The following is a 25,056-nucleotide window of genomic DNA, read 5'->3' as shown; positions in this document are numbered from 1 at the left end:
ATGCAAGGTGAAGTTGGGGCTGAAAGTTAGTGGGATCATGGCCCAGCATGCCTCTTCTGAGGCCAATGGCTATCACTAGCGCACGGGGCTGCCTAAATATCGGGAGGGCTGGCTTTCCCCCATTGTCTGAGAAGATCAGAGTGAGCCTGTCGCCTATGGTGACATTCAGGGCTGGCAATTACCCAACACACTGCCCATCCACCCCCAACTTTAACGCAGAAATCAGGTGTGTTGTGAAAGGGCTTGAAAAGGCTTTAATTTTCTCAGCTGTCTAAGGCTCCGTGCTGATTGAAGTGTCCCTGGTACAAAAGCAGTGTCCATCATGTGCTTTGCTGAATACAACACTTAGCCCAGCTGTGCAATCTTCCCCGACAGCTTCACAATGGGGCTCAATCAAGCCTCAGAAGTTCTCCTCCCACCCACTCAGACCGCCTCCCCCTCCCCTCTCTCTAGGAGAAAGAACGAGTGCATTGTTGGGCGTTTCTCTGATGCTTATCACTGGACCACAGGAGGTATCCGCAGATGCCTGTGACCCTTGAGGCACTGCTCCTTAACCTTGCAACCCAGTTTTCTTGGCAGAAGGGTTAATAGGCCATCACGTTCTCCACTTGGTTCCCCCTTCTAGCAACTGAAGCAGCAAAGCTGTTCCTTTGGCAGATTTGGAAATTTCTGCTTAAACTGCCAACCTGTGAGAGGTTGAGGTCTATTAAGTCTTTCCGCTAGTCCCAGAGCTGAGTAAGCTGGGACTCAGCTCCACAGGTATTAACTGGCAATCTGAACTTAAATGACCCACTTAGATAAACAGCTCCATAGAGGCAGGCTTGCTTTGCAGGCTGCCACAAGTAAATCAAGGAAGCACTGAGCTGGCATACGTTGGACTTCCCTCAGTGGTGTTGGGGGAGTCACCAAAGGAAGTGCTTAAAAGAAAAGAGGTTTCACAATGGATCCAGGTGGGCAAATGTGGTTGTTGGGATGTTTCACTTTCTGCAAGAGTTGTCACAACTTTGGTGGCTTTGCTGCAAGGCAGGTCACTGTGCAGCTAGAGGAAGCTGGTATGGGGGCTTGGAGGACTAACTGAACTTCAGAGCAGTTATCTGAAGTGGGGTAGCCAGTTGTCCACTCTAGAGACATGCAAAGGGGCGGGAGGACTCTGGCCCCACCCTGCGAAAGCATCCAGGTCAGACGGTGTGTCTGGTACATGCAAGATGCCAGCCAGGAGTTGAAGTGGGGCAGGGTCCAGCTCACACAGGTGAAGGGGTGCTAACTTTTCAGTGGGATGTAGAAGTCCAAGACACGAGGGCAGTTGTCCCAAGCTGGGTTGCTGGACACACAGTCAGATGGACTGAATCTTCAAGGTGTGGAGCAGCTCTGGGATGGGGGGGCTCACAGAACCCAGAGCCCCCAAGGCTGGTGGAGTCCAGCTTCCTGATAACTGGGTGTGTTGAAGAGCATTCACCAGGAGGCTTTGTGAGGCTGATGCTGCAGGCCAAAGAGGGTCTGGGAAGGTTGAGTCTGGCAAAAGAGAAAGCTGTCTTCGTTGTATAGAAAAAATATACAATGTCCAGTTGGTACTTCCTTGGAGAATAATCTCATACCTTCATGATTGATGTGATGGTAGCCATTTACATGTGTTACTAGCATCCAGAAATTGGTTTGCAGTATAGATAATTAATCCTTAGAGGCTAATATTGTTTCTTATCATTCACTTTCCTTTTTACATTTTGGCTGTGTCCTGGGGTCACGCCTAACTCTACTGCCTGCAGTGTCTTGGTATTAAATGTGCCTCTTTCTCCTCTATTTTGTCATTTATCTTCACTCTGTGTTCTGGTTATTACTGAAGCATAACAGACTACCTCAAAACTCAATGACTTAAAACGGCAACAATTTACATATGTGTAGTATACTATAATAGACATATTGTGACTATAAGAATAATGACAGCCATAAGGCCCTTGCAAATATCTTGTAGGGCCTACCCTATGTGTCACTTAGCAGTGTCATGCAGCCTAGACTGGAGATTTCCAGGAGGCAAGACCACCTCAGCACAGATCCAACTATCATGAACCTTAAAATAAAGCTTCCCCTTACAAGAACAGCTTAGATTCCCTTTATGAAAGAAATACCTGGTAACTGACTTGGATTGAACACAGGAATAAGAAATGGGGAAGAATCTCCCAAACTCTGAAATTAGTTTCTGTATGGAGAATCTCTCAGTCTGGAGGTCCTCGGACCCCTGACTGTATCTGGCCTGTGCCACTGGCCTGTTCCTGTTGTTCATGCTGTGAGAGCACTGCCAGCATAAACTGTGTGAACATCAGACACTGCCTAAGACTCATCTTTGTTGTGAATGAGACCCAAGGGGAAAAGTCACCCTGAGAAAGCTGGTTAACTGGGACCGCCTGAGGCCTCCAAACAAATGCAACAAATGGGAATTTAGAGAGGATGCAGCCTGCATGGATTTTCTTTGCTCTATGATATCTAAGGTCTCAGCTGGAAAGACTTGAATAGTTAGCGGGGGGGTGATTAGAATGGCTGGGGGCTGGAATTCTCTGGAAACCTCTCCATGTCTGACACTTGGGCAGAAATGGCTGGAGGCTGGGCTCAGCTGGGGCTTGACTGTGCCCATGTGAGGCCCATCCAGTGTGGCATCTCAGGACACCAGGAATAAGTGCTTGAGCACAGCCACTATGGCCTAGCCTTGGAAGTCACCCTGCACCCCTGCTGTCATAATCTATTGGTTGAAGTGGTCACAAGCCTGCAATTTCAAGGGAATTGAACATAGGAAGGAGTATCCCAGAATTTGTAGCCATAATTCAAAACAACAGTGCCCCTGGAGTTTGCTTGATTGTTGTTCCTTCTAATGCTTCACCTGCTTTCTTTCCTCTCATCCTGCTCAAGCAGACTGCTTCCCTACTTGGGAAGAACATTGGATCTTGTCTGTCTGAGCCTTGATGCTTATTTTTAGTTTGTGCTGGCTGCATGGTTGCAAGGATTGTGTTATTCTTTATCTACCCCTCAGGAAAACCTGTCATTGGGCTGGGCTTGTAGCAATGACACCAGAAAAATCATGCCCAAGGAACCATTATTCATGGTGTTTCTAAGATGCTTCTGGTTCCTTCTCTTCTCCCAGTGGTTTTTATCAAAGGTCATTCTTTTATAGGAAATAGATACTACAGAATAAATCATTAAGTCTTAAGTGTCTCAACTTTCCCTGCACTCCAATAGCTCTTCTCCATGCAAACCCATACAAATGAGATTTTTTCCCATTATTGTAACATTTTTTTTCTGATTGTTTGAAAGTGTGCTAGTTTAAGCTCCTAGACTAGATTTAGAATTACTACGGATAGGGGAACATGTGTTGCAGTTTGTTTATACCCATCCCACCAACCTCAGTGTCAGTAAAGCAGTCTGCCTCAACCTTTATATATATACTAGAGATGAAGTCTCGCTCTGTCACCCAGGCTGGTGTACGGTTGTACCATCCTAGCTAACTGTAGTCTTGAACTCATGGGCTCAAGCACTCCACCTGCCTCAGCACCCCCAGAGTAGCTAGGATTACAGGCTAGCTATTCTGCCTGCACTCGGTAGAGTAGAGTACCCCCAGGGTATGGTAGGTAAGCCTGAATATGATCTTTCTAAATTAATTAATATCTATTATCTTGAATATGACCTTTCTAATTAATTCATATCTATTATTAACAAAAACTGGGCTGGGTGCAGTGGCTCACGCCTGTAATCCCAGCACTTTGGGAGGCTGAGGCAGGCAGATCACAAGGTCAGGAGACTGAGACCATCCTGGCTAACATGGTGAAACCCCGTCTCTACTAAAAATACAAAAAAATTAGCTGGGCTTGGTGGCGGGCACCTGTAGTCCCAGGTACTGGGGAGGCTGAGGCAGGAGAATGGCATGAACCTGGGAGGCAGAGCTTGCAGTGAGCCAAGATCGTGCCACTGCACTCCAGCCTGGGTGACAGAGCGAGACTCAAACAAACAAACAAAACAAAAAAACCAAAAACTGAAGTTTTTGTTGTGTTTGTATGTTTGATTGGTCTGACAAAGTAAGTACACAGTATAGGTGGAAATGGGTGACCGAGAAGGAGGCCATGAGTCTCTTTTCAAAAAGGACAGTCACGTGTGAAAGCAATGCAGATTGATGATTTGTGGCATTATTTATGGGACACCTCCATGGTTTTTGTCTGCTGTAGGAGGAAAGTAAAGAGCACTGGACTTGGTGTCAGAAGATGAGGGTGGAATCTCAACTCTGCCACTAATTAGCCCCACGACCTTGGTAAGTTATATCCTTATTCTGAAATCCAGTCTCCTTAGCTATAGAACGATAGTAACAGAACCTATTATTTAGAATTGGGATTAAATAGTGCCAGTTTTTTATGGTGAGAATTAAGTAAAAGAATGTATGTGAAAGTGTTTGTATAATGCAGTTATAAAGTCTTATGATTTCATTAGTGGACTAAGTCAGGGTTTGTTAACTCAAGGAGCCAGACTGGTGATTTAAATGGCTCAAGAAGCTGGACCTAAAGAGGAGAGTGGTGCAGGTGCCGGGTCAGAGGAGGGATGCTCCTACTCACCTGCTGCTGGCTGTTGCCAAGTTCAGGCCCAGGTGACCAGATTAGATTTTCTCAGAGAATCCAGAAATGTAGACTTTTATGAGGATGCTTCTGATTTTAAGGATTTGTTATTGATTCACAAATGAATACATACACACATGTAAAGAAAACAAACAAAATGCTCTGTAACTCTTCTTTGTCCTACACACTGCCAATTAAAGATTTGGTTCAAAAGTGATGCTGAGGGCATAAAGATGGCATAAAATCATTTCTCCTGCTCCTCTCTGCTAAGTACAACTACAACCCTGGAAACAGTGCAAGAAGTAACCAAAAGAGAACTCTGAATAGAGGAAGGTGGGCTAGTTGGGGGCCCCAGGACAGGAGGAACAACATAGTGGTGGGCATCTTGACACTCCCCACCCAATGACAGAATGAGACACGGGCCAGGTGTCTCTCAACCCCTAACCTAACAACAGAAGGTGAGCTAGTTAGGGTCATTCACAAAATATCCTTAAGAATGGCTAGAGGAATTTCTTCAAAACGAAAGGAAATTATAAAAGAAAGAATTTCAGAGCATTAAGAAAGAAGAAAGAACAATAGAAAGGACAGATACTGTATATGGATAAATCAAATAGACTGTCCTCACAAGTTTCATAAGTCATATGCAAGATTGAAATAAAAATTACAATCCTAATGCTCAAGACAATGATATTTAAAAGTGGGGTAGATGAAGTGACCTAAATGGAAGTAAGGTTTCCATACTTCAATTCAAGTGGCAAAACACTGACACCAGTAGACTGTGATAAGTCATAAGTGTATATTGTAACACACAGAGCAACCACAACAAAACTACACACACCAATATACATGAAACACAATAAATGAGTCAAGAATGACTTCTAAAAAGTGTTCAAGCAACTCACAGAAAGGCAAGAACTGAAAAAGAGAGAAAAATCAGAGGGCAAATAAGTATGTGAAATAAGTTCAGCATCATTAAACATCACGGAAATTTAAATGGAAACCGAAATGCACACCTATAGATGCCTAAAATAAGAAATAGTGACAATGCCAAATGCTGATGAGGAAGAAGAGATGCTTGATGACTCATACACTGCTGGTGGGAATGTTAAATGTTACATCCACTCTGAAAACAGTTCCACAGTTTTTTATAGAACTCAACATGCAATTACCACATGACCCAACAATTGCACTTTGGGGCATTTATCTCAGAAAAATGAAAATTTTTCTTGTACAAAAGTCTGTACACAAAGATTTGTAATGACCTTATTTTTAATATCCCCAAATGCAAAACAATCAAGGTATAGTTCTATAGGTGAATGGTTAAACAAACTGTGGTATGTTTATACCATAGAATACTTCTTAACAACAAAAAGGAGGATATTATTGATGCATACACCAACTTGGATGAAACTCTAGGGAATTTTCCTAAGTGAAAAAGTGCCAATCATTAAAGGTTGCAGGGGGCAGGTGTGAGAGAGGAGAAAAAGGCAACACAAGGAATACTTGCGGCGACAGAACTATTCGATTTGTTGACTATGCTGGTAGATATATGAACTTACACATGTGATAACATTTTGTAGAAATACATGTGCGCACACACACACACACACACACACAAGTAAAGCTCGGAAAATCTAAGTAAGATCAGTAGATTATATTAAAATGAATATTCTGGTTGTGATATTGTACTATATTTTGTAAGATGTTACCACTTGGGTAAACTGAGTAAAGAGGGGATCTCTATTATTTCTTTTTTATTTTATTTTATTTTATAATTATTATACTTTAAGTTTTAGGGTACATGTGCACAATGTGCAGGTTTGTTACATATGTATACATGTGCCATGTTGGTGTACTGCACCCATTAACTAGTCATTTAGCATTAGGTATATCTCCTAATGCTATCCCTGCCACTCCCGCCACCCCCCAACAGTCCTCGGAGTGTGATGTTCCCCTTCCTGTGTCCATGTGTTCTCGTTGTTCAATTCCCACCTATGAGTGAGAATATGCGGTGTTTGGTTTTTTTGTCCTTGCGATAGTTTGCTGAGAATGATGATTTCCAGTTTCATCCATGTCCCTACAAAGGACATGAACTCATCATTTTTTATGGCTGCATAGTATTCCATGGTGTATATGTGCCACATTTTCTTAATCCAGTCTATCGTTGTTGGACATTTGGGTTGGTTCCAAGTCTTTGCTATTGTGAATAGTGCCACAATAAACATATGTGTGCATGTGTCTTTATAGCAGCATGATTTATAGTCCTTTGGGTATATACCCAGTAATGGGATGGCTGGGTCAAATGGTATTTCCAGTTCTAGATCCCTGAGGAATCACCACACTGACTTTCACAATGGTTGAACTAGTTTACAGTCCCACCAACAGTGTAAAATGTTCCTATTTCTCCACATCCTCTCCAGCACCTGTTGTTTCCTGACTTTTTAATGATCGCCATTCTAAACTGGTGTGAGATGGTATCTCATTGTGGTTTTGATTTGCATTTCTCTGTTAGCCAGTCATGGTGAGCATTTTTTCACGTGTTTTTTGGCTGCATAAATGTCTTCTTTTGAGAAGTGTCTGTTCATGTCCTTCGCCCACTTTTTGATGGGGTTGTTTGTTTTTTTCTTGTAAATTTGTTTGAGTTCATTGTAGATTCTGGATATTAGCCCTTTGTCAGATGAGTAGGTTGCAAAAATTTTCTCTCATTTTGTAGGTTGCCTGTTCACTCTGATGGTAGTTTCTTTTGCTGTGCAGAAGCTCTTTAGTTTAATTAGATCCCATTTGTCAATTTTGGCTTTTGTTGCCATTGCTTTTGGTGTTTTAGACATGAAGTCCTTGCCCATGCCTATGTCCTGAATGGTACTGCCTAGGTTTTCTTCTAGGGTTTTTATGGTTTTAGGTCTAACATTTAAGTCTCTAATCCATCTTGAATTAATTTTTGTATAAGGTGTAAGGAAGGGATCCAGTTTCAGCTTTCTACCTATGGCTAGCCAGTTTTCCCAGCACCATTTATTAAATAGGGAATCCTTTCCCCATTGCTTGTTTTTCTCAGGTTTGTCAAAGATCAGATAGCTGTAGATATGCGGCATTATTTCTGAGGGCTCTGTTGTGTTCCATTGATCTATATCTCTGTTTTGGTACCAGCACCATGCTGTTTTGTTTACTGTCGCCTTGTAGTATAGTTTGAAGTCAGGTAGCGTGATGCCTCCAGCTTTGTTCTTTTGGCTTAGGATTGACTTGGTGATGCGGGCTCTTTTTTGGTGCCATATGAACTTTAAAGTAGTTTCCAATTCTGTGAAGAAAGTCATTGGTAGCTTGATGGGGATGGCATTGAATCTATAAATTACCTTGGGCAGTATGGCCATTTTCACGATATTGATTCTTCCAACCCATGAGCATGGAATGTTCTTCCATTTGTTTGTGTCCTCTTTTATTTCATTGAGCAGTGGTTTGTAGTTCTCCTTGAAGAGGTGCTTCATGTCCCTTGTAAGTTGGATTCCTAGGTATTTTATTCTCTTTGAAGCAATTGTGAATGGGAGTTCACTCATGATTTGGCTCTCTGTTTGTCTGTTATTGGTGTATAAGAATGCTTGTGATTTTTGTACATTGATTTTGTATCCTGAGACTTTGCTGAAGTTGCTTATCAGCTTAAGGAGATTTTCGGCTGAGACAATGGTGTTTTCTAGATATACAATCATGTCATCTGCAAACAGGGACAATTTGACTTCCTCTTTTCCTAATTGAATACCCTTTATTTCCTTTTCCTGCCTAATTGCCCTGGCCAGAACTTCCAACACTATGTTGAATAGGAGTGGTGAGAGAGGGCATCCCTGTCTTGTGCCAGTTTTCAAAGGGAATGCTTCCAGTTTTTGCCCATTCAGTATGATATTGGCTGTGGGTTTGTCATAGGTAGCTCTTATTATTTTGAGATACGTCCCATCAATACCTAATTTATTGAGAGTTTTTAGCATGAAGAGTTGTTTGAATTTTGTCAAAGACCTTTCCTGCATCTATTGAGATAATCATGTGGTTTTTGTCTTAGGTTCTGTTTACATGCTGGATTATATTTATTGATTTGCATATATTGAACCAGCCTTGCATCCCAGGGATGAAGCCTACTTGATCATGGTGGATAAGGTTTTTGATGTGCTGCTGGATTCGGTTTGCCAGTATTTTATTGAGGATTTTTGCATCAATGTTCATCAAGGATATTGGTCTAAAATTCTCTTTTTTGGTTGTGTCTCTGCCCGGCTTTGGTATCAGGATGATGCTGGCCTCATAAAATGAGTTAGGGAGGATTCCCTCTTTTTCTATTGATTGGAATAGTTTCAGAAGGAATGGTACCAGTTCCTCCTTGTACCTCTGGTAGAATTCGGCTGTGAATCCATCTGGTCCTGGACTCTTTTTGGTTGGTAAGCTATTGATTATTGCCACAATTTCAGAGCCTGTTATTAGTCTATTCAGAGATTCAACTTCTTCCTGGTTTAGTCTTGGGAGGTTGTATGTGTTGAGGAATTTATCCATTTCTTCTAGATTTTCTAGTTTATTTGTGTAGAGGTGTTTGTAGTATTCTCTGATGGTAGTTTGTATTTCTGTGGGATTGGTGGTGATATCCCCTTTATCATTTTTTATTGCATGTGTTTGATTCTTCTCTCTTTTCTTCTTTATTAGTCTTGCTAGCGGTCTATCGATTTTGTTGATCCTTTCAAAAAACCAGCTCCTGGATTCATTAATTTTTTGAAGGGTTTTTTGTGTCTCTATTTCCTTCAGTTCTGCTCTGATTTTAGTTATGTCTTCCCTCCTGCTAGCTTTTGAATGTGTTTGCTCTTGCTTTTCTAGTTCTTTTAATTGTTAATTAAAAGATGTTAGGGTGTCAATTTTGGATCTTTCCTGCTTTCTCTTGTGGGCATTTAGTGCTATAAATTTCCCTCTACACACTGCTTTGAATGTGTCCCAGAGATTCTGGCATATTGTGTCTTTGCTCTCATTGGTTTCAAAGAACATCTTTATTTCTGCCTTCATTTCATTATGTACCCAGTAGTCATTCAGGAGCAGGTTGTTCAGTTTCCATGTAGTTGAGAGGTTTTGAGTGAGTTTCTTAATCCTGAGTTCTAGCTTGATTGCACTGTGGTCTGAGAGACAATTTCTTTAAAGTTCATATGGCACCAAAAAAGAGCCCGCATCACCAAGTCAATCCTAAGCCAAAAGAACAAAGCTGGAGGCATCACGCTACCTGACTTCAAATTATACTACAAGGCGACAGTAAACAAAACAGCATGGTACTGGTACCAAAACAGAGATATAGATCAATGGAACACAACAGAGCCCTCAGAAATAATGCCGCATATCTACAGCTATCTGATCTTTGACAAACCTGAGAAAAACAAGCAATGGGGAAAGGATTCCCTATTTAATAAATGGTGCTGGGAAAACTGGCTAGCCATAGGTAGAAAGCTGAAACTGGATCCCTTCCTTACACCTTATACAAAAATTAATTCAAGATGGATTAGAGACTTAAACGTTAGACCTAAAACCATAAAAACCCTAGAAGAAAACCTAGGCAGTACCATTCAGGACATAGGCATGGGCAAGGACTTCATGTCTAAAACACCAAAAGCAATGGCAACAAAAGCCAAAATTGACAAATGGGATCTAATTAAACTAAAGAGCTTCTGCACAGCAAAAGAAACTGCCATCAGAGTGAACGGGCAACCTACAAAATGAGAGAAAATTTTTGCAACCTACTCATCTGACAAAGGGCTAATATCCAGAATCTACAATGAACTCAAACAAATTTACAAGAAAGAAACAAACAACCCCACCAAAAAGTGGGCGAAGGACATGAACAGACACTTCTCAAAAGAAGACATTTATGCAGCCAAAAAAACACTTGAAAAAATGCTCACCATCACTGGCTATCAGAGAAATGCAAATCAAAACCACAATGAGATACCATCTCACACCAGTTAGAATGGCGATCATTAAAAAGTCAGGAAACAACAGGTGCTGGAGAGGATGTGGAGAAATAGGAACATTTTACACGGTTGGTGGGACTGTAAACTAGTTCAACCATTGTGGAAGTCAGTGTGGCGATTCCTCAGGGATCTAGAACTGGAAATACCATTTGACCCAGCCATCCCATTACTGGGTATATACCCAAAGGACTATAAATCATGCTGCTATAAAGACACATGCACACGTATGTTTATTGTGGCACTATTCACAATAGCAAAGACTTGGAACCAACCCAAATGTCCAACAACGATAGACTGGATTAAGAAAATGTGGCACATATACACCATGGAATACTATGCAGCCATAAAAAATGATGAGTTCATGTCCTTTGTAGGGACATGGATGAAGTTGGAAATCATCATTCTCAGTAAACTATTGCAGGAACAAAAAACCAAACACCGCATATTCTCACTCATAGGTGGGAAATGAACAATGAGAACACATGGACACAGGAAGGGGAACATCACACTCTGGGGACTGTTGTGGGGTGGGGGGACAGGGGAGGGATAGCTTTAGGAGATATATCTAATGCTAAATGACGAGTTAATGGGTGTAGCACACCAGCATGGCACATGTATACATATGTAACTAACCTGCACATTGTGCACGTGTACCCTAAAACTTAAAGTATAATAATAACAAAATAAAAAAAATAACAGAAACGTCAATAACCTGATTTTACATGGTTTTATTTGTTGGATTTTGGCATTATTTAGGTCCTCTAAAATCTATAAAGAAGCAATTTTTAGTATTAATTGAGTGCCTCCTGTGTGCTAAGCCCTGTGGTATTTGCTAAGGAGACTAGAAGGAGTAGAAATGAATCCTTAGGTAAGGTAATTTACAGATTACAAGATGTTTTCAACTGCGTCATCACCTCTGGTTCTCACCCAAACCCTGTCAGGCAGTTATTATTACGTGTCATGATTTTATAGGAGATAAAATAGAATCTTGGATAGATTGAAGGAATAACCCATGTTAAGGTTGCTTTCAAGCATAGAGCTTGAGCTGTCTGTAACTTACTTATTATTTCAGCCCCTACCATCTTTTCACCATAGCACACTGCAGGACCTTACCTCCTGGGGAAATGTCTAACACCTGTTAAAATGTGCAAGCTTAGTCTCTGTCACTCCTTTCCCACTGCCCCACCTCCCTCTCTCTCTTACACACAGGCACACACACCACATGCTTTCCAAGAGCAGGGGAGTCTTTAACTAGCTAAATGGTCAAGCATTCCATGTAGTCACTTGAGAACCCAATATATCATGTGTTTCTGTAGAAGTTGTCGTACTAATTACACAACATGGGATCTACTGAGGCATTCATAGACTTTGTCAATACATTCAAGGTGACAGAAGAATTTTTGAAAATTCCTTACATTCAAATATTTGTATTTTACACAATAAATTTATATTTACCACAAAAACATTAGATTTTACAGATAAGTATAAAGAAACGGAAGAAAACAAAAACAACTAAGCAAACCTTAGCCCACTTCACAGAGTTAAAAAGAGGTCAGTTTTAAAGAGATTTCTAGTCAATTATGAAGACATTTCTAGATTTTATTTTCTTTCTTTCTTTTTTTTTTGGAAACCAGCTCAGGTTTACTTGTGACATTTTAAAATTGTACAAGTATTTTGATATCTGCCCCCAACATTTAATTTCTTAAAATGGCAGGAAAACATCAAATAATCACAGGTTTAATACATTTACCCCTTCAGTTCCTATTTGCAGCACCCAATATTCCTTTGAAATATGAAACAGACCTGGCAGTGGCCAATAGTAGATTTCTGCCCGCTGCCTTCCCACCTTCAACAGAGTTGAAAAGTTCAGGTTTAGTGTTGTTGCAGTGGCACTTGTCCAGAATTGGTACCTCCCCATAGTTGGGGGACTTTAAATGTACCAGTGAAAATAGCTTTCTCCCCTTCAAAGGGAAGGAAGAAAATCACTCCCTCAAACCCAGCAGACGGCTGTGAGGTCTTTCCTCCTATCTCATCTCTTCAGGATTTTTGTTTGTTTGTTTGTTTGCAGTGGAGCAAGAGAGACCAAAACCTAACCTGAGTTACAAGAAACAAGACAGTAATGGCTATAAAGGGAGTGACCAGGAGCAACTGGGACACTCTTTACCTCCCATTTCCAATGTATGTGCTTCACAGAAAAACAACAAAAATAACAAATCCACAAAATACAACAGCTAGAATTACAAAATCCATTTATCCAAGGGTGGTAGGAGGCAGGATGGAAAGGTGGGAGGGTAAATGGTACAGGGAGAGAAACAAAGTATTCAAATCAGTCCAGGCACAGGGACTGGCAAATGCTAGAAAATAGCTGCAGAAAAACCTGTGGTCCTTTCAGACTCACGGCGATGTTAAAAATCCACACACTGGTGTCAGGGAACATTCTGCTTTACGTGCACCAGAGACAAAAATTTCAATTCCTCAGAGAGAAGGGAATACACAGAGGGCCCTTGGCAGAGAGGGTACTGCCTTCCCTGGCAGGGGGAGGTGAACAGGGAACAGAGCTGCCACAGCCTCCTTCCAATCCCGCCCACCCCCTTTGGATGGCAGGCAACTCAGTGGCCTGGAGCAACCTTCAGTTTGGCAGAAGACGGATGCGGTGAAGGGAACTTCTCTGCAGAAATGGAGCTGCTCAGGGCAGACTGCAGTTTCTTTTCTTCATTCTTTTTCATTGAAAAGATAGCATCACATAGACAGCTTCATAATCCCTATTGTTTAATAATAATAATAGACACATAGATGTACAATAGACACATAGATTTACACAGATGTACAATAGACTCATGCATGTACATTAATTAATTTAATAAGTTCCCTATTATTGAATGTTGAGATTGTTTTGAATTTAGATTGCTTTGAATTTTCCCTGTTACAAATGATATGGGTTAAAAAAAGAGTAATTTATTATTAATTGGCATCAAAATTATTCTAAGGAGGGAAAGTATCTTTTCCTGGAATAACATTTTATTGAATTACCCAGTTTGGAAAATCTAATTCTAATGATCTGTAAGCTAGAAGTGTTCTGAGAAAGTTGTTCAGGTCCCAAGGAGGACATATTCTGCAACTCCTACTTCAGATATGACCAAGGAGAATGTCTGGAAGGCAGAACTAAGAGCTACAGAATAAGGGACAGGAGAGCCCTTCTGTGACAGCAGAGTGAGGGTTTGCCAGGAGCTCCCCTCTACACCAGTCCTCCCAGGCATCACAGTGTCTGCCCAGGTCAGACACTGTGTTTAGAATTGCTGGTGATTTTGGAGTTCAGAATTACTGGTGATTCTGTGTCTCCATCCTTCTTCATTCCAAATGGAGCGATGAATGCTGTGAACCGGCCCATTTCACCACTGTATGATGATGCAGGTGGAAGGCAAATGACTTGTCTTTGCCATTAATAGGACCGAGGACCAAGAGGAGACCGGTCTGATGGAGAGACTATTGCCCTCACCTTGAGACCCAGGATTGTATTTGGATTCAGTGACTGGAGGTTGCTTAAGGATTTCATCCTAGGTAAAGAGGTTATTCTGTTTTGTTTCGTTTTGTGGAAGAATTAGTTGAGTACTTGATGACTAGAAAAACAGATTGTGATGGAGGTTTTCAATGCTCATTAACATTTGGTTCTCTTTTCTTTCTGAACACTTGGGAGGAACATACTTTCCCAGGCCCCTTGCAGTTAAGCAGGATCATGCAGTGAGTTCTAGCCAAGGGCTGTGAGGCGAGGTGGCCAAAGCATTTAAGAGCAGGTTTCCATTTTCCACACTCTCTTGTTTCTTCTACAGTGATCCAGGATGACATGCACTGGTTACTTGGTGTGACATCCAAAGATCATTGAATGTCTGTCAACCTGGTCTCCTGAGTGACTTTGTGGAGCAAAGCCCCTCACCAATACATGTTGGATACGCATCATTAATGAGGGCAAAACCCCCACAAACTTTTGTTCTACTAAGTCATTGAAATTTGCTTCCACAGCATACCCTGACCTACTCTGATTAAAGTATACCTTGAGCATGTCCTAATTAAAACTCATATCAACATTATTAACCTTTTATAATGCAATTATTTCTTCTAAGTTTGCCATTTGTATTTTAATTTTGTTTATAATGAAGTCACTTAAAGTCACCAGAATTGCAAAGATTGCCATAACTCTTAGTCTAAAATCTCCTTTCCTTCAGTAGATCATCACAGAAGTTTAGAGGGTTTAAGAGTCTGGGCTTTGTGAGTCTGACTGCTGTCCACTCTGTTTATTACATGTGTGGCCTATGCAAGGCACTGAGGCAAAAGTTATTCATTGCAGTAATGTTTAAAATACTGAAAAATTTAACCAATCTAGATGGCTATCAATAACAGAATGCAATAGAATAACATGCAGCCATTAAAATAATGGGGTAGATCTACAGTTGCTTGCATGGAAAGATGTTCTGGATATATTGTTGGTTTAAAAAGAAGAATTGGGCTGGCCGCAGTGGCTCAAGCCTGTAATTCTGGCACTTTGGGAGGCCAAGGTGGACAGATCACCTGAGGTCAGGAGTTCGAGACCAGCCTGGCCAACATGGTGAAACCCTGTCTCTACTAAAAATACAAAAATTAGTTGGGGGTGGTGGCACACGCCTGTAATCCCAGCTACTCAGGATGCTGAGGCAGGAGAACCGCTTGAACCTGGGAGGCGGAGGCGGCAGTGAGCTGAGATCGTGCCATTGCACTCCAGTCTGGGCCACAAGAATGAAACTCTGTCTCAAAAAATAAATAAATGAATAAATAAATAAATAAGTAAAAATAAAAATAAGAATGCAAAACAGCATCTATCACACAGCTACCATGTACATGTAGGTAAGTATATGCCAGTGGTAGTGTCTGAAAAGAATTTCAAATTATAACAGTAGATACTTCTGGATAGTAATCATCTGAGAGATTTAATCTTTCCCTTTAGGTTTTTCAGTACTATTCCATTTTAAAAAATTTACAAATTTGTATAATTTGCAAACAAACAACCATTTTGGTGTATAAGTAAAATGTTGTATATTATATTTACATTAATATGTTCTATTAGATATATTTAATATATTTACATTTTACTTTATAAATATTTAATTTTATGTTTTTAAGGTTAATTTTTACTTATGATGGCCTTCTACACCTTTGATTTTTTTAAGTTCTTTGTTAAAATTTTATAGTGTTCTCCTTATAGGTCTTGTTTAGTTTTGAAGTTTTCATTTTTAGATATTTAAATATTTTTGTTTCAATTTTGAATGATATTTTTTGTTTATTGCATTATCAACTGGTTAGTTTCAGGTGTCTAGCAAATATTTTCTGTATATTTCTTTGATAACTAACCACTCTGCTAAGAGCTTTTGCTATAATCATTTTTTAGTTGATTCTGTAATCCCAGCTACTTGGGAGGCTGAGGCGGAAGAATCGCTTGAACCCAGGAGGCAGAGGTTGCAGTGAGCCGAGATCACACCATCATACTCCAGCCTGGGTAACAAGAGTGAAACTCCCTCTCAAAATAAAAAAAATAAAAAATAAAAAGTTTGAATAAAATTATATCCAAATCATCTAGACCTACAACAAACTTTGTAGATAATTTGACAATTTTCTCTTTCCTCCCATTTTGTATGCTGTATTGGACTATGCAGTTTCTCCACTTAAAAAGTCAGTTGCCATAATTCATATTTTCTTAGAAAATTTTCTATTTCATAATGATTTTCATAAACATATAATACATTTTTATTTTTCATATTATTTATTTATACATATTTTATAATAAATTGAAATTCTCCTCTTCCTCATTCCTAATGTTATATATTTGTATTCCACAACATCGGAACAGAATGTTTATTTGTTTTTTAATAAATTCGTGGTATGTTGCTTAATGGGTTTTACGTTTTCTAAACTCTGTCTGTGGCTTCACAATCTCTCATTGGCAAGGCCTTGTATACAGCCTAAAAGCCTGCTCCCCAGCCCCTAGGCCCTCTGGACTGCAGCTACCTTGCCTTTCCTTCAGCTGGAGCGTTCCTCCAGCTGAGGCCCAGGGTGTCTGCATAGGCTAGCTCTTGAGCTGGTCTTTTTCTGTTACCTTTCAGGTCTCTGAACAATATGGGCTGAAGGAAGCCTTTGCTAACCACTGAGGCTAGGTCAGAGCCCCATTATAGATTCACATAAAAGTGCGGCTTTCACTCATGACAATCTTGTGGTATGCAATTACACGCTTATTTATTTAACTATTTGCTTAATTTCTGTTTCTTCCAGTATCAGAGACTGCGGTCTATATCCAATTTGATTCATTTATCCACAGTCTCAAGAGCAGCGTGAGCACTGTGTAAATACTCAGAAAAATTATCCTCTTATGATATAGTTTGTATTTTGTTTTTCCTCCTTTCTGCTGTTTCTTGCTTGTCCTCTCCCCTTTTTATTCTCTATTTTGCTATCTTTTCCAAGTTTCCTTTGATATATTTTTAAGTGACAAAAAGTTACGTTATTTTCATAACAATGACTTTTATCTCTCTTAAAACATCTACTTTTTTTTACTGATGGCAAAAATGAAACAGTATTCATTGATTCCTCCATATTATGACAAGTGTTTTAAAATGTGTTCACATTCTTCTTATTTCCCTAGAACACCTTTATTTTAATATAACCTCAGTTTTTAGATCTATGTTATCATTATCTTACTGTAAAGAAAAAGGTCAGGCTGGAGAATGCAATCCCAGGGAAGCAGAAGGGAAAGAAAATTGGAATGAGGCAGAAAAGGAGAAAGAGTAAATGTGAGTGAGTGTGTTGCTGAAGTGGTCTCAGGTTCATGTCAAGTTGATTGCTTTTTCTCACAGGACATCATCAGAGCAGCAGTAAGAACATTTTGCCTTTCTAAACAATCCATCCAGAAGAAAAAAGGGAGAATGTTACCTTTGAAACCTTATTCTATTGGTGAAAGATTTCCCCACTCAGCCTCAACACCCTCTACTCTGAATTGGGCATTTGTGGGTGCTGGGCAGGTCCCATGACCTCTTGTGTCTTAGCAGCAACAGAGAAACCTTGAGACAGGAAACAAGTTACGTGTGGCAGAAATATGCAGATAACATGCAGTGTTAGTATATGAACAACGGAAAGTAGATGTCACAGTGGACCCCTTTAAACCACAGTGATGATTGCATTGGCAATCTGACTCCATGACCACCAGCAAAATATAAGAAATTATTAGGATTGTTCCAGCCAGAAGGCTAGATAAAGGTCACATATTTTGGATCTAGTAAAATTGTGTGGATGATACATAAATTGAGTCTCATAAAAATATTCAGTATTTTTACTTCATATCTTCTCTTTCAAAGTTTAAATTTCTACTTTGCATTATATTTTATAATTACATCAATAGTTATTTAGAAAAAAACTCAAATTTTACAAGTTCTATTCCTTTCTTTATTATTTCTATATTTTACCTTAAATATAATTGAGTTTTTGCACATTTTTGGAGGTTGCAGAGCTTTGCATTTTTGTTAAGGAAAGATACATATGGTGGTATGTTTTCTGAGTCTTAGCAAGTATAACGCTTTCAGCTGGCCTTGTACATAAATCATATGGTGACTGGGTGTAGAATTTTGGGTGGCAATGAATTTGTTATCCAAAATTCCAGAGTGCTCTCCTTCCAGCCGTGACAGAGTAACTGGCATTAGATGTTTCCTTCCACTGAAAACAACTATAAAATTAGACAAAATATATGAGCCATTGGACAGCAAACAGTACAGGATGCTGACTCTTGAGAGAAGGGAGACAAACAAGGTGATCCTTGTGATTGTGGTGGCTTTTTGTCTGAAGGCACTTTCCTTGTACAAAGCAGAGAAGGTGGACCCAAGTGGAGCAACATTCTCTGTGAGTTGACAATTCAAAAATAAGTGTTCTAGGATGCTGAGGCAGTTGGAATTTGCACAGAAGGGTAGCTGAGAAGAGAAAGTTACATGGAAACAGGTGGGGAGTGCCAAAGAAATCTGCATGGATGTCTTACAGCATGATTCCCTGAACAAGGGCTTGGACAGCGTGGGTCCTCCATAGCAGGATCCTTGAACAAGAGCTGAGCTGCCCACACACAGGGAAAGGCTTTACGAGGCCAAGCAGAGATTGCCTACTTTGGGTCAAAAGCTGAATGGTGTGTCAGAGAACAGGATAAGAGATACGAGAGTTTCAGATAAGATAGAGTACAGAGATGCCACCAAGTACCTTAGACTTTCTATTGGAAACAAATATTACATCACAGGAGTTAAGACAACACATTCTAGGATTAAGGGTACAATCTTTAGGATTATAGATCCTACTTAATAAAGCATAAAATCATGACTCATTTGAAGACAGATTAATAGAAATTTAACAAAAATGAAGAGAACTTCAGAGAAATATAGAACAGCATCAAGAAAATTAACAAATGTTAATTGTAGTTCTATAAGGAGAAGAGAGAGAGAATGGGGCAAAAAGGGCTTGAAGTAATAAAGGTGGGCAAGTTCTCACATTTGGTGAAATACTGAATTTACAGATTCAGAAAGTTTAGGAAACTCCACACAGAAAAAATACAAAGAACACCAAACTTACATACATAATAGGAAAACTGCTTAAAAATAAACCAAACCAAAAAGTGCAAGGGAACAATAATACAAACTAAAAAGCTTAGGGTTATGTACAACTAGACTAACCTACTGTTGAAAGGTTATTCAATTTTCTTTTGTAGGGGTATAATGTTAACTATAATAGAGCCAAAATAATTTTAGAATATATATTGTAATCCCGAGGATAACTGTTAATGTAAAATACAGTGAAAAAGCCAACAGAAGAATTAAAATTTAATTTTAAGGAAATAATTACTGTAAAAGAAGGCAAGAAAGGAGGTACAGAGGACCAAAACAGAGATAAGAAAAATAGAAACAATTAGTAAGTTGCTAGACTTAAATGCAATCTCATTAAAGATTACATTGTCAATGGCTTAAACATTACAACTGCAGAGTGTCAGATAATATTTTTTAAAAGCCCTATCTATATTACCCACATAAGATGCAAATTAAATATAAAAGTACAGATAAGTTGAATGTAAAAGAATGAAATAAAATATATTATGCAGATTATTGTAAGAAAGCTGGAATTATTATATTAGCATCATAAAAAATAGTCTTCATGACAAGGAGTATTATCAGCATTAAAGATGGATATTTTATAAATGTGAAAGGGCCAGTTAGTCAAGAAGATATAACAGTCATAAATGCATATCTATCCAATAAAAGAGCTTTAGATACATGAAGCAAATTGTGACATAGGAGAAATAGACAAATCAACAATTGTGGTTGGAAATTTTAAAGGTCCCCTTTTCAGTAATTGATAGAGCAACTGGAAAAAAATTGAAAGGACAGAGAAGTTAGGAAAATGGGTCAGGAAGAGGAGTAGGGACCAGCAGAAGAAACTGAGAATGACAGTCCAGTGACATAGGAGGAGAAACAACAGAGAATAATGTCCCAGGGGCCACAATATCAAAAGTTGTTGAAAGGGTGGATAGTAAGAGGATGAAGAATTGATCTTAGATTGGTAGCCTTGAGAGATGTTTCATTGGGATTATGGGGGAAAAGGATTTATTGATGTAAGTTTAAGAAGAAATGGAGGGTAGTGAGAATAGGTAACTTTTTTTTTTTTAAGACAGGAACTCACTCTGTCACCCAGGCTGGATGCAGTGACATGGTCATAGCTTACTGCAGCCTCGATATCCCAGGCTCAAGCAATCCTCCTGCCTAAGCCTGCCAAGTAAGTGGGACTACAGGCACAGACCACCACACTTAGCTATTTTTTTTTTTTGTTTTTGATTTTTAGTAGAGATGAGGTCTGGCTATGTTGCCCAGGCTAATCTTGAACTCCTGAACTCAAGCAATCCTCCCGCCTTAGCCTCTGAAAGTGCTGGGATTACAGGTGTGAGCCACTGTGCCTAATCTGCAATGCATACCTGAATATTAAAAGTTCTGAGAAGTCCTAGTGAAAGAAATCTATTAAATATTTCTTCAGCCAGTGTTCCTCAAATTTATTTCAGCTCCATTTTTGAACGTAACTTCTACTAACTTCCCATAGTGCTGGAGTGTGATGGAAATTGTTTTGGAAGATGCTGAGGTGGAAAAGGCCTCCTAATCTTCTGAACTCCTGAAGTACTTTCTCTCTTCCTCTGGTAAGGCATTTAGCTCTTTCTGTTTTGTAGATATATATGTAATTCAGGTTTATCACAAAGATGGGCATTCTTTGAGGAGAGACGGCTGATGACGAAGTCACATTTATCTCTGGTGCCCAGCACTGAGCCTTGCACAGAGCAATGGCTCCCGGCATGTAGATTGAAAGAGAATGTACATATTACTAAGGGGATTTCAATGGAAAGTTTCTAGGCCACACTGCATGTAATGTCACATTATCTTCTATTTGTATCTTCACATCCCTCCTTTGCTCTTTCCCTCCCAGCCTCTAGTATCCACTCTTTTACTTTTTACTTCTATGAGATCAATTTTTTTTTTTTTTTTAGCTTCAACATATGAATGAGAACATGAGGTGTTTAACTTTGTGTTCCTGGCTTATTTCACTTGACTAATGTCCTCCAGTTCAATCCATGTTGCCTCAAATGACAGGATTTCATTCTTTTTGTGGCTGAATAGTATTCCATTTATAATGCCATTATTCAAAAACTTTTTTAAAATAAGTTTTTTTTTTTTTTTTTTGGTAGAGCCTAGTCTTGAACTCTTAGCCTCAAGAGATCCTCCTGCCTTGGCCTCCCAAAGCACTGGGGTTACAGGTGTGGGCCATTCCACCTGATCTCAACAACTTCTTAACGTTTTTTCTTTTGATCATGTCCACTTCTCTTTCTCAGAGAAAACATGAAATAAAATACTGCATCCTGAACACAAAATACTCCTTTTAGCAACTAAAGGTGAGTGTGAATGAACTCTGATCCCTACAACGGTTTGATGGGAAAAGTAGAAAACAGCCAAAAAATTCCATATTTGAGTCTAGAAATTTTACTACAATGGTGGAGAAACATTTAGTTGCAGTAGATTTTCTTACTCCAATACTTTCTCTTGAGGAGTCGATTGCTGAGGCAACCGGAGGATCCAGAGATCAACACAGACAACTCCTGTTTCTTCAATAACCTTCACTGATGTCTTTACATGCAAGGTGGAGGGAAGGTGAGAGATTTTCAATACTTGTTCAACTTGCTTAGATCTTAGTGATTTAATGGCCTTTTGTCAGATAATTAAGATTTTCCTCCTGGATGCAGATGTTCAAAGAGCTTGGTTTTAAGTAGTGTTTATTTCATATGAACAGGACTTGATCCTTTCATCTGTTTAGAATCACCCAATAATACTCCTCTTTCAAAAAGGATTTAGCTCTCAGACTATTTTATCACCCACTTTTTTTTTGGACCAAAGTGAGAAGACAAAACAAAACACTTTACTATGTGTTTGAATTTGTCTTCTCTTAATAAGAATGCGGAAACACAGTCTGGCCACCCTCATTCCTTTTATCACTTTGTTCACAGCTCTTATGCTATCCATAAAAGCTACATTTACAACTAGAACACTAAGATTTTTATCCTCAGGTTTTATCCACTTCATGAATAAAAATGCCTCTGATCTACTTTGCAAGGTGGAAAGCAGGCTTGAACTTGTGCTTAGAGTAGGATAAAGTTTAGCTAATGTTTATGTCATTTATGAGAAGGGTTCATTTCACCTTGGTCTTTGTGTCCTCTGTACAGTCATCATTGCTCAGATACTGGGCTTCTGTTTGAGCACATCTTCTTCCTCACTTACACTGGAGTGGCCAGTTTCCAGCTAAGATCCAGCCACTTCACCATCGGCCTCTACTGTAGTATCAATCACACAGACTCAGAGCGGCGTCTTGTTTGCGGCCAGTTGTTGTGGGAATGGCTTTTCTGAGGTAATGCTCTCAGCGTTTGCATACAGCTGAATAAACAGTCTTGTTTCATTTGAAAGCTCTTGACCATGAGGTTTTTTCATTCATTTGATAGTTATTTCTTATTCACCTAATGTGTGTCTACTCCATTTTCTTCAGGATTTTTTTGTTTAGGCTGTTTTCTTCAAATAGCTGTCATTTGAAGTTGCCTTAAATTTACATTGTGAAGATCTGTTTATAACCAAGCATGCTTTCTTTCTCCTTTCCAGCTCTGTATAAATAATCCTACACATCCATCAAGTCTCAGCTAAAATGTTTCTTTCTCAATGAAGCATCCCCGCATAATTTTAGGTTTTAAATGTCTTGATGGCTCCATTTCCTCAGATCTCAAATCTCTGATGCTTTGGGAGCCAATCTACACTTTCACTTCTTGTTATATTTCACATGCGTAACTCAGAGACACTGCCATTGTTACAGAACTAGAAATGCTTTCTGAAATTACTCACCATTCTTTTAAACGCAGAGTTAAGCTTACAAGAAAGAAAGCATAATTTGTATGTGCTAGAAATGAGAAGGTTTCTGGAAAGCAGACTGGTAAGGATGGAAGCTAATCCTTCAGTGGCCTTAGTGGGTGGTCGCAGATTGTAGAATTCAGCCAGCTAGGGGTGTGACTCTGAAAACACGCATGCAGAATGAAAGTAAGTCCTGCCATTGCACATGGCAGCATGCTGAAACTGAGACCCCTGCATAAAGCAGTGAAGGTAGAAGGACCGCGGTGGGTGAGTGGGAAAGACAACCAGAAAAAATGCACTTTCCAACACAGACACAGGCAGACGGCAAAAAAATTTTCTGTTGCTGCTTGGACCCTGGGTAGGAAAAACATTCCCTAGGATAATTTGTGACCATGGGTTTGTGTCCCCAACAGTTGAAGTTCTAATTTTTATAATTAGTTGGCTCAGGGATCCTCAAGCTGAAGGGAATCTGAATTTTAAAACTTCATGTGAGAAAAATCATAAATAACTGCATGCTGATAAATTTGAATATTTTAGTGAAGAATCCTTTATATTCACTATATTCATCAAAATAATTTATAAAGAAATATAAAATTCCCATAAAAAGAGGTGAATCAGTTATTAGCAATTTACCCAGTTGCTCCAATGTTAATGAAAAATAGATCCAGACTATGTACAGACATCTTCTTCCAATCCTTTGAGCAATAGATAATCTTTATGCAAATATTTTCAGAGAATAGAAAAGAAGGAAAACATCCCAGTTAATTTTGTAAGGTCATTAGCACCTTGATTCCAAAATCAGGCAAAGGCATCATGAAAAATAAGATTTGCAGGTTAATTATGGTCAGAGAGGCAAAAGTCCTAAATGAACTATTAGCAGACTAAACCTAGGGGTGTCTGAGTGTGTGTGTGTTTGTGTGAAAGAGAATGGGAAGGAGAATATCGAAACACATTCATATTATTTATGAAATAATTCATGCTATGTAGGTTCTTCCCAGAAATGTAGTGGTAGGTTTTGTTTGCTTTGTTTTTGTTTTGGTTTGTTCTGTTGTTTTTTTTTTTTTAGATATAGGGTCTAACTATATTGCTTAGGCTGGCCTTGAACTTCTGGGCTCAAGCAGTCCTCTCGCTTCAGTGTCTGAGTATCTGGGTCTACAGGTGCATGTCACCACACCTGGCTCATAGGGGTAGTTATAGTTGAAAAAAGGTAACTAAAAATCTTTTAAAACAGAAATGAAAGGGAATGTCTCCTAACTAAAGATGGTATTTACTAAATGCCTGCAGTATTTATCATGCTAAACAGTGAAATACTAGAAGCATTGCCTAAAAAGTCAGCTATAAATCAAGAATACCCTCTATTACTATTTCTATTCAGTATTGCATTGGAAATTTGAGGCAGTATACTAATATTGGGTTGAACCACATAAAATTGATGATAATCAAGTATTTCTGGCTGATATGGTTTAGCTGTGTCCACACCCAAATCTCGTGTTGAATTGTAGCTCCCATAATCCCCATGTGATGTGGGAGGGACCCAGTGGGAGGTAATTTAATCATGGGGGCAGGTTTTCCCATGTTGTTCTCATGATAGTGAATAAGTCTCATGAGATCTGATAGTTTTATAAAGGGGAATTCCCCTACATATATGCTTTCTTGCCCGCTGTCATGTGCCTTTGTTCCTTCTTCAGCTTCCACCGTGATTGTGAGGCCTCCCCAGCCATGTGGAACTGTGAGTCCATTAAACCTCTTTTTTTTTTTTTTTTTTTTATAAATTACCCAGTCTCTGGCATATCTTTATTAGCGTGTGAGAACAGACTAATACACTGACCAACAATCTAATTTTAGGAAAGAAAGAGAAGACATGGAGTTTAAAAATGAAGAACTCAAAGTAATGTTACTCATAGAAAATATGCTTATCTGCATAGAAAATTTAAGAGATTTTACAAAAAGTTATTTGAACCAAAGAGCTCACAAAATTGCTGGACACAAGATTAATACTCAAAATCCATTGTGTATTAACACATAGCA

The 25,056-nt window shown here is 39.3% G+C and overlaps 1 annotated feature.

Moving 5' to 3' along the window:
* Nucleotides 40-1,009: an enhancer, noted in NCBI's record as "NANOG hESC enhancer chr10:85668303-85669272 (GRCh37/hg19 assembly coordinates)". NCBI's record gives its function as "activates a minimal SCP1, AML or CMV promoter by ChIP-STARR-seq in naive H9 embryonic stem cells {active_cell/tissue: H9 hESC(naive)}" and the evidence as "EXISTENCE:reporter gene assay evidence [ECO:0000049][PMID:30033119]".

The sequence above is a fragment of the Homo sapiens genome, chromosome 10, assembly GCF_000001405.40.
Source record: "Homo sapiens chromosome 10, GRCh38.p14 Primary Assembly".
NCBI lineage: Eukaryota > Metazoa > Chordata > Mammalia > Primates > Hominidae > Homo > Homo sapiens.
Note: the sequence above shows the minus strand (reverse complement) of the source record. Positions and strands in the feature narration are given on the sequence as shown.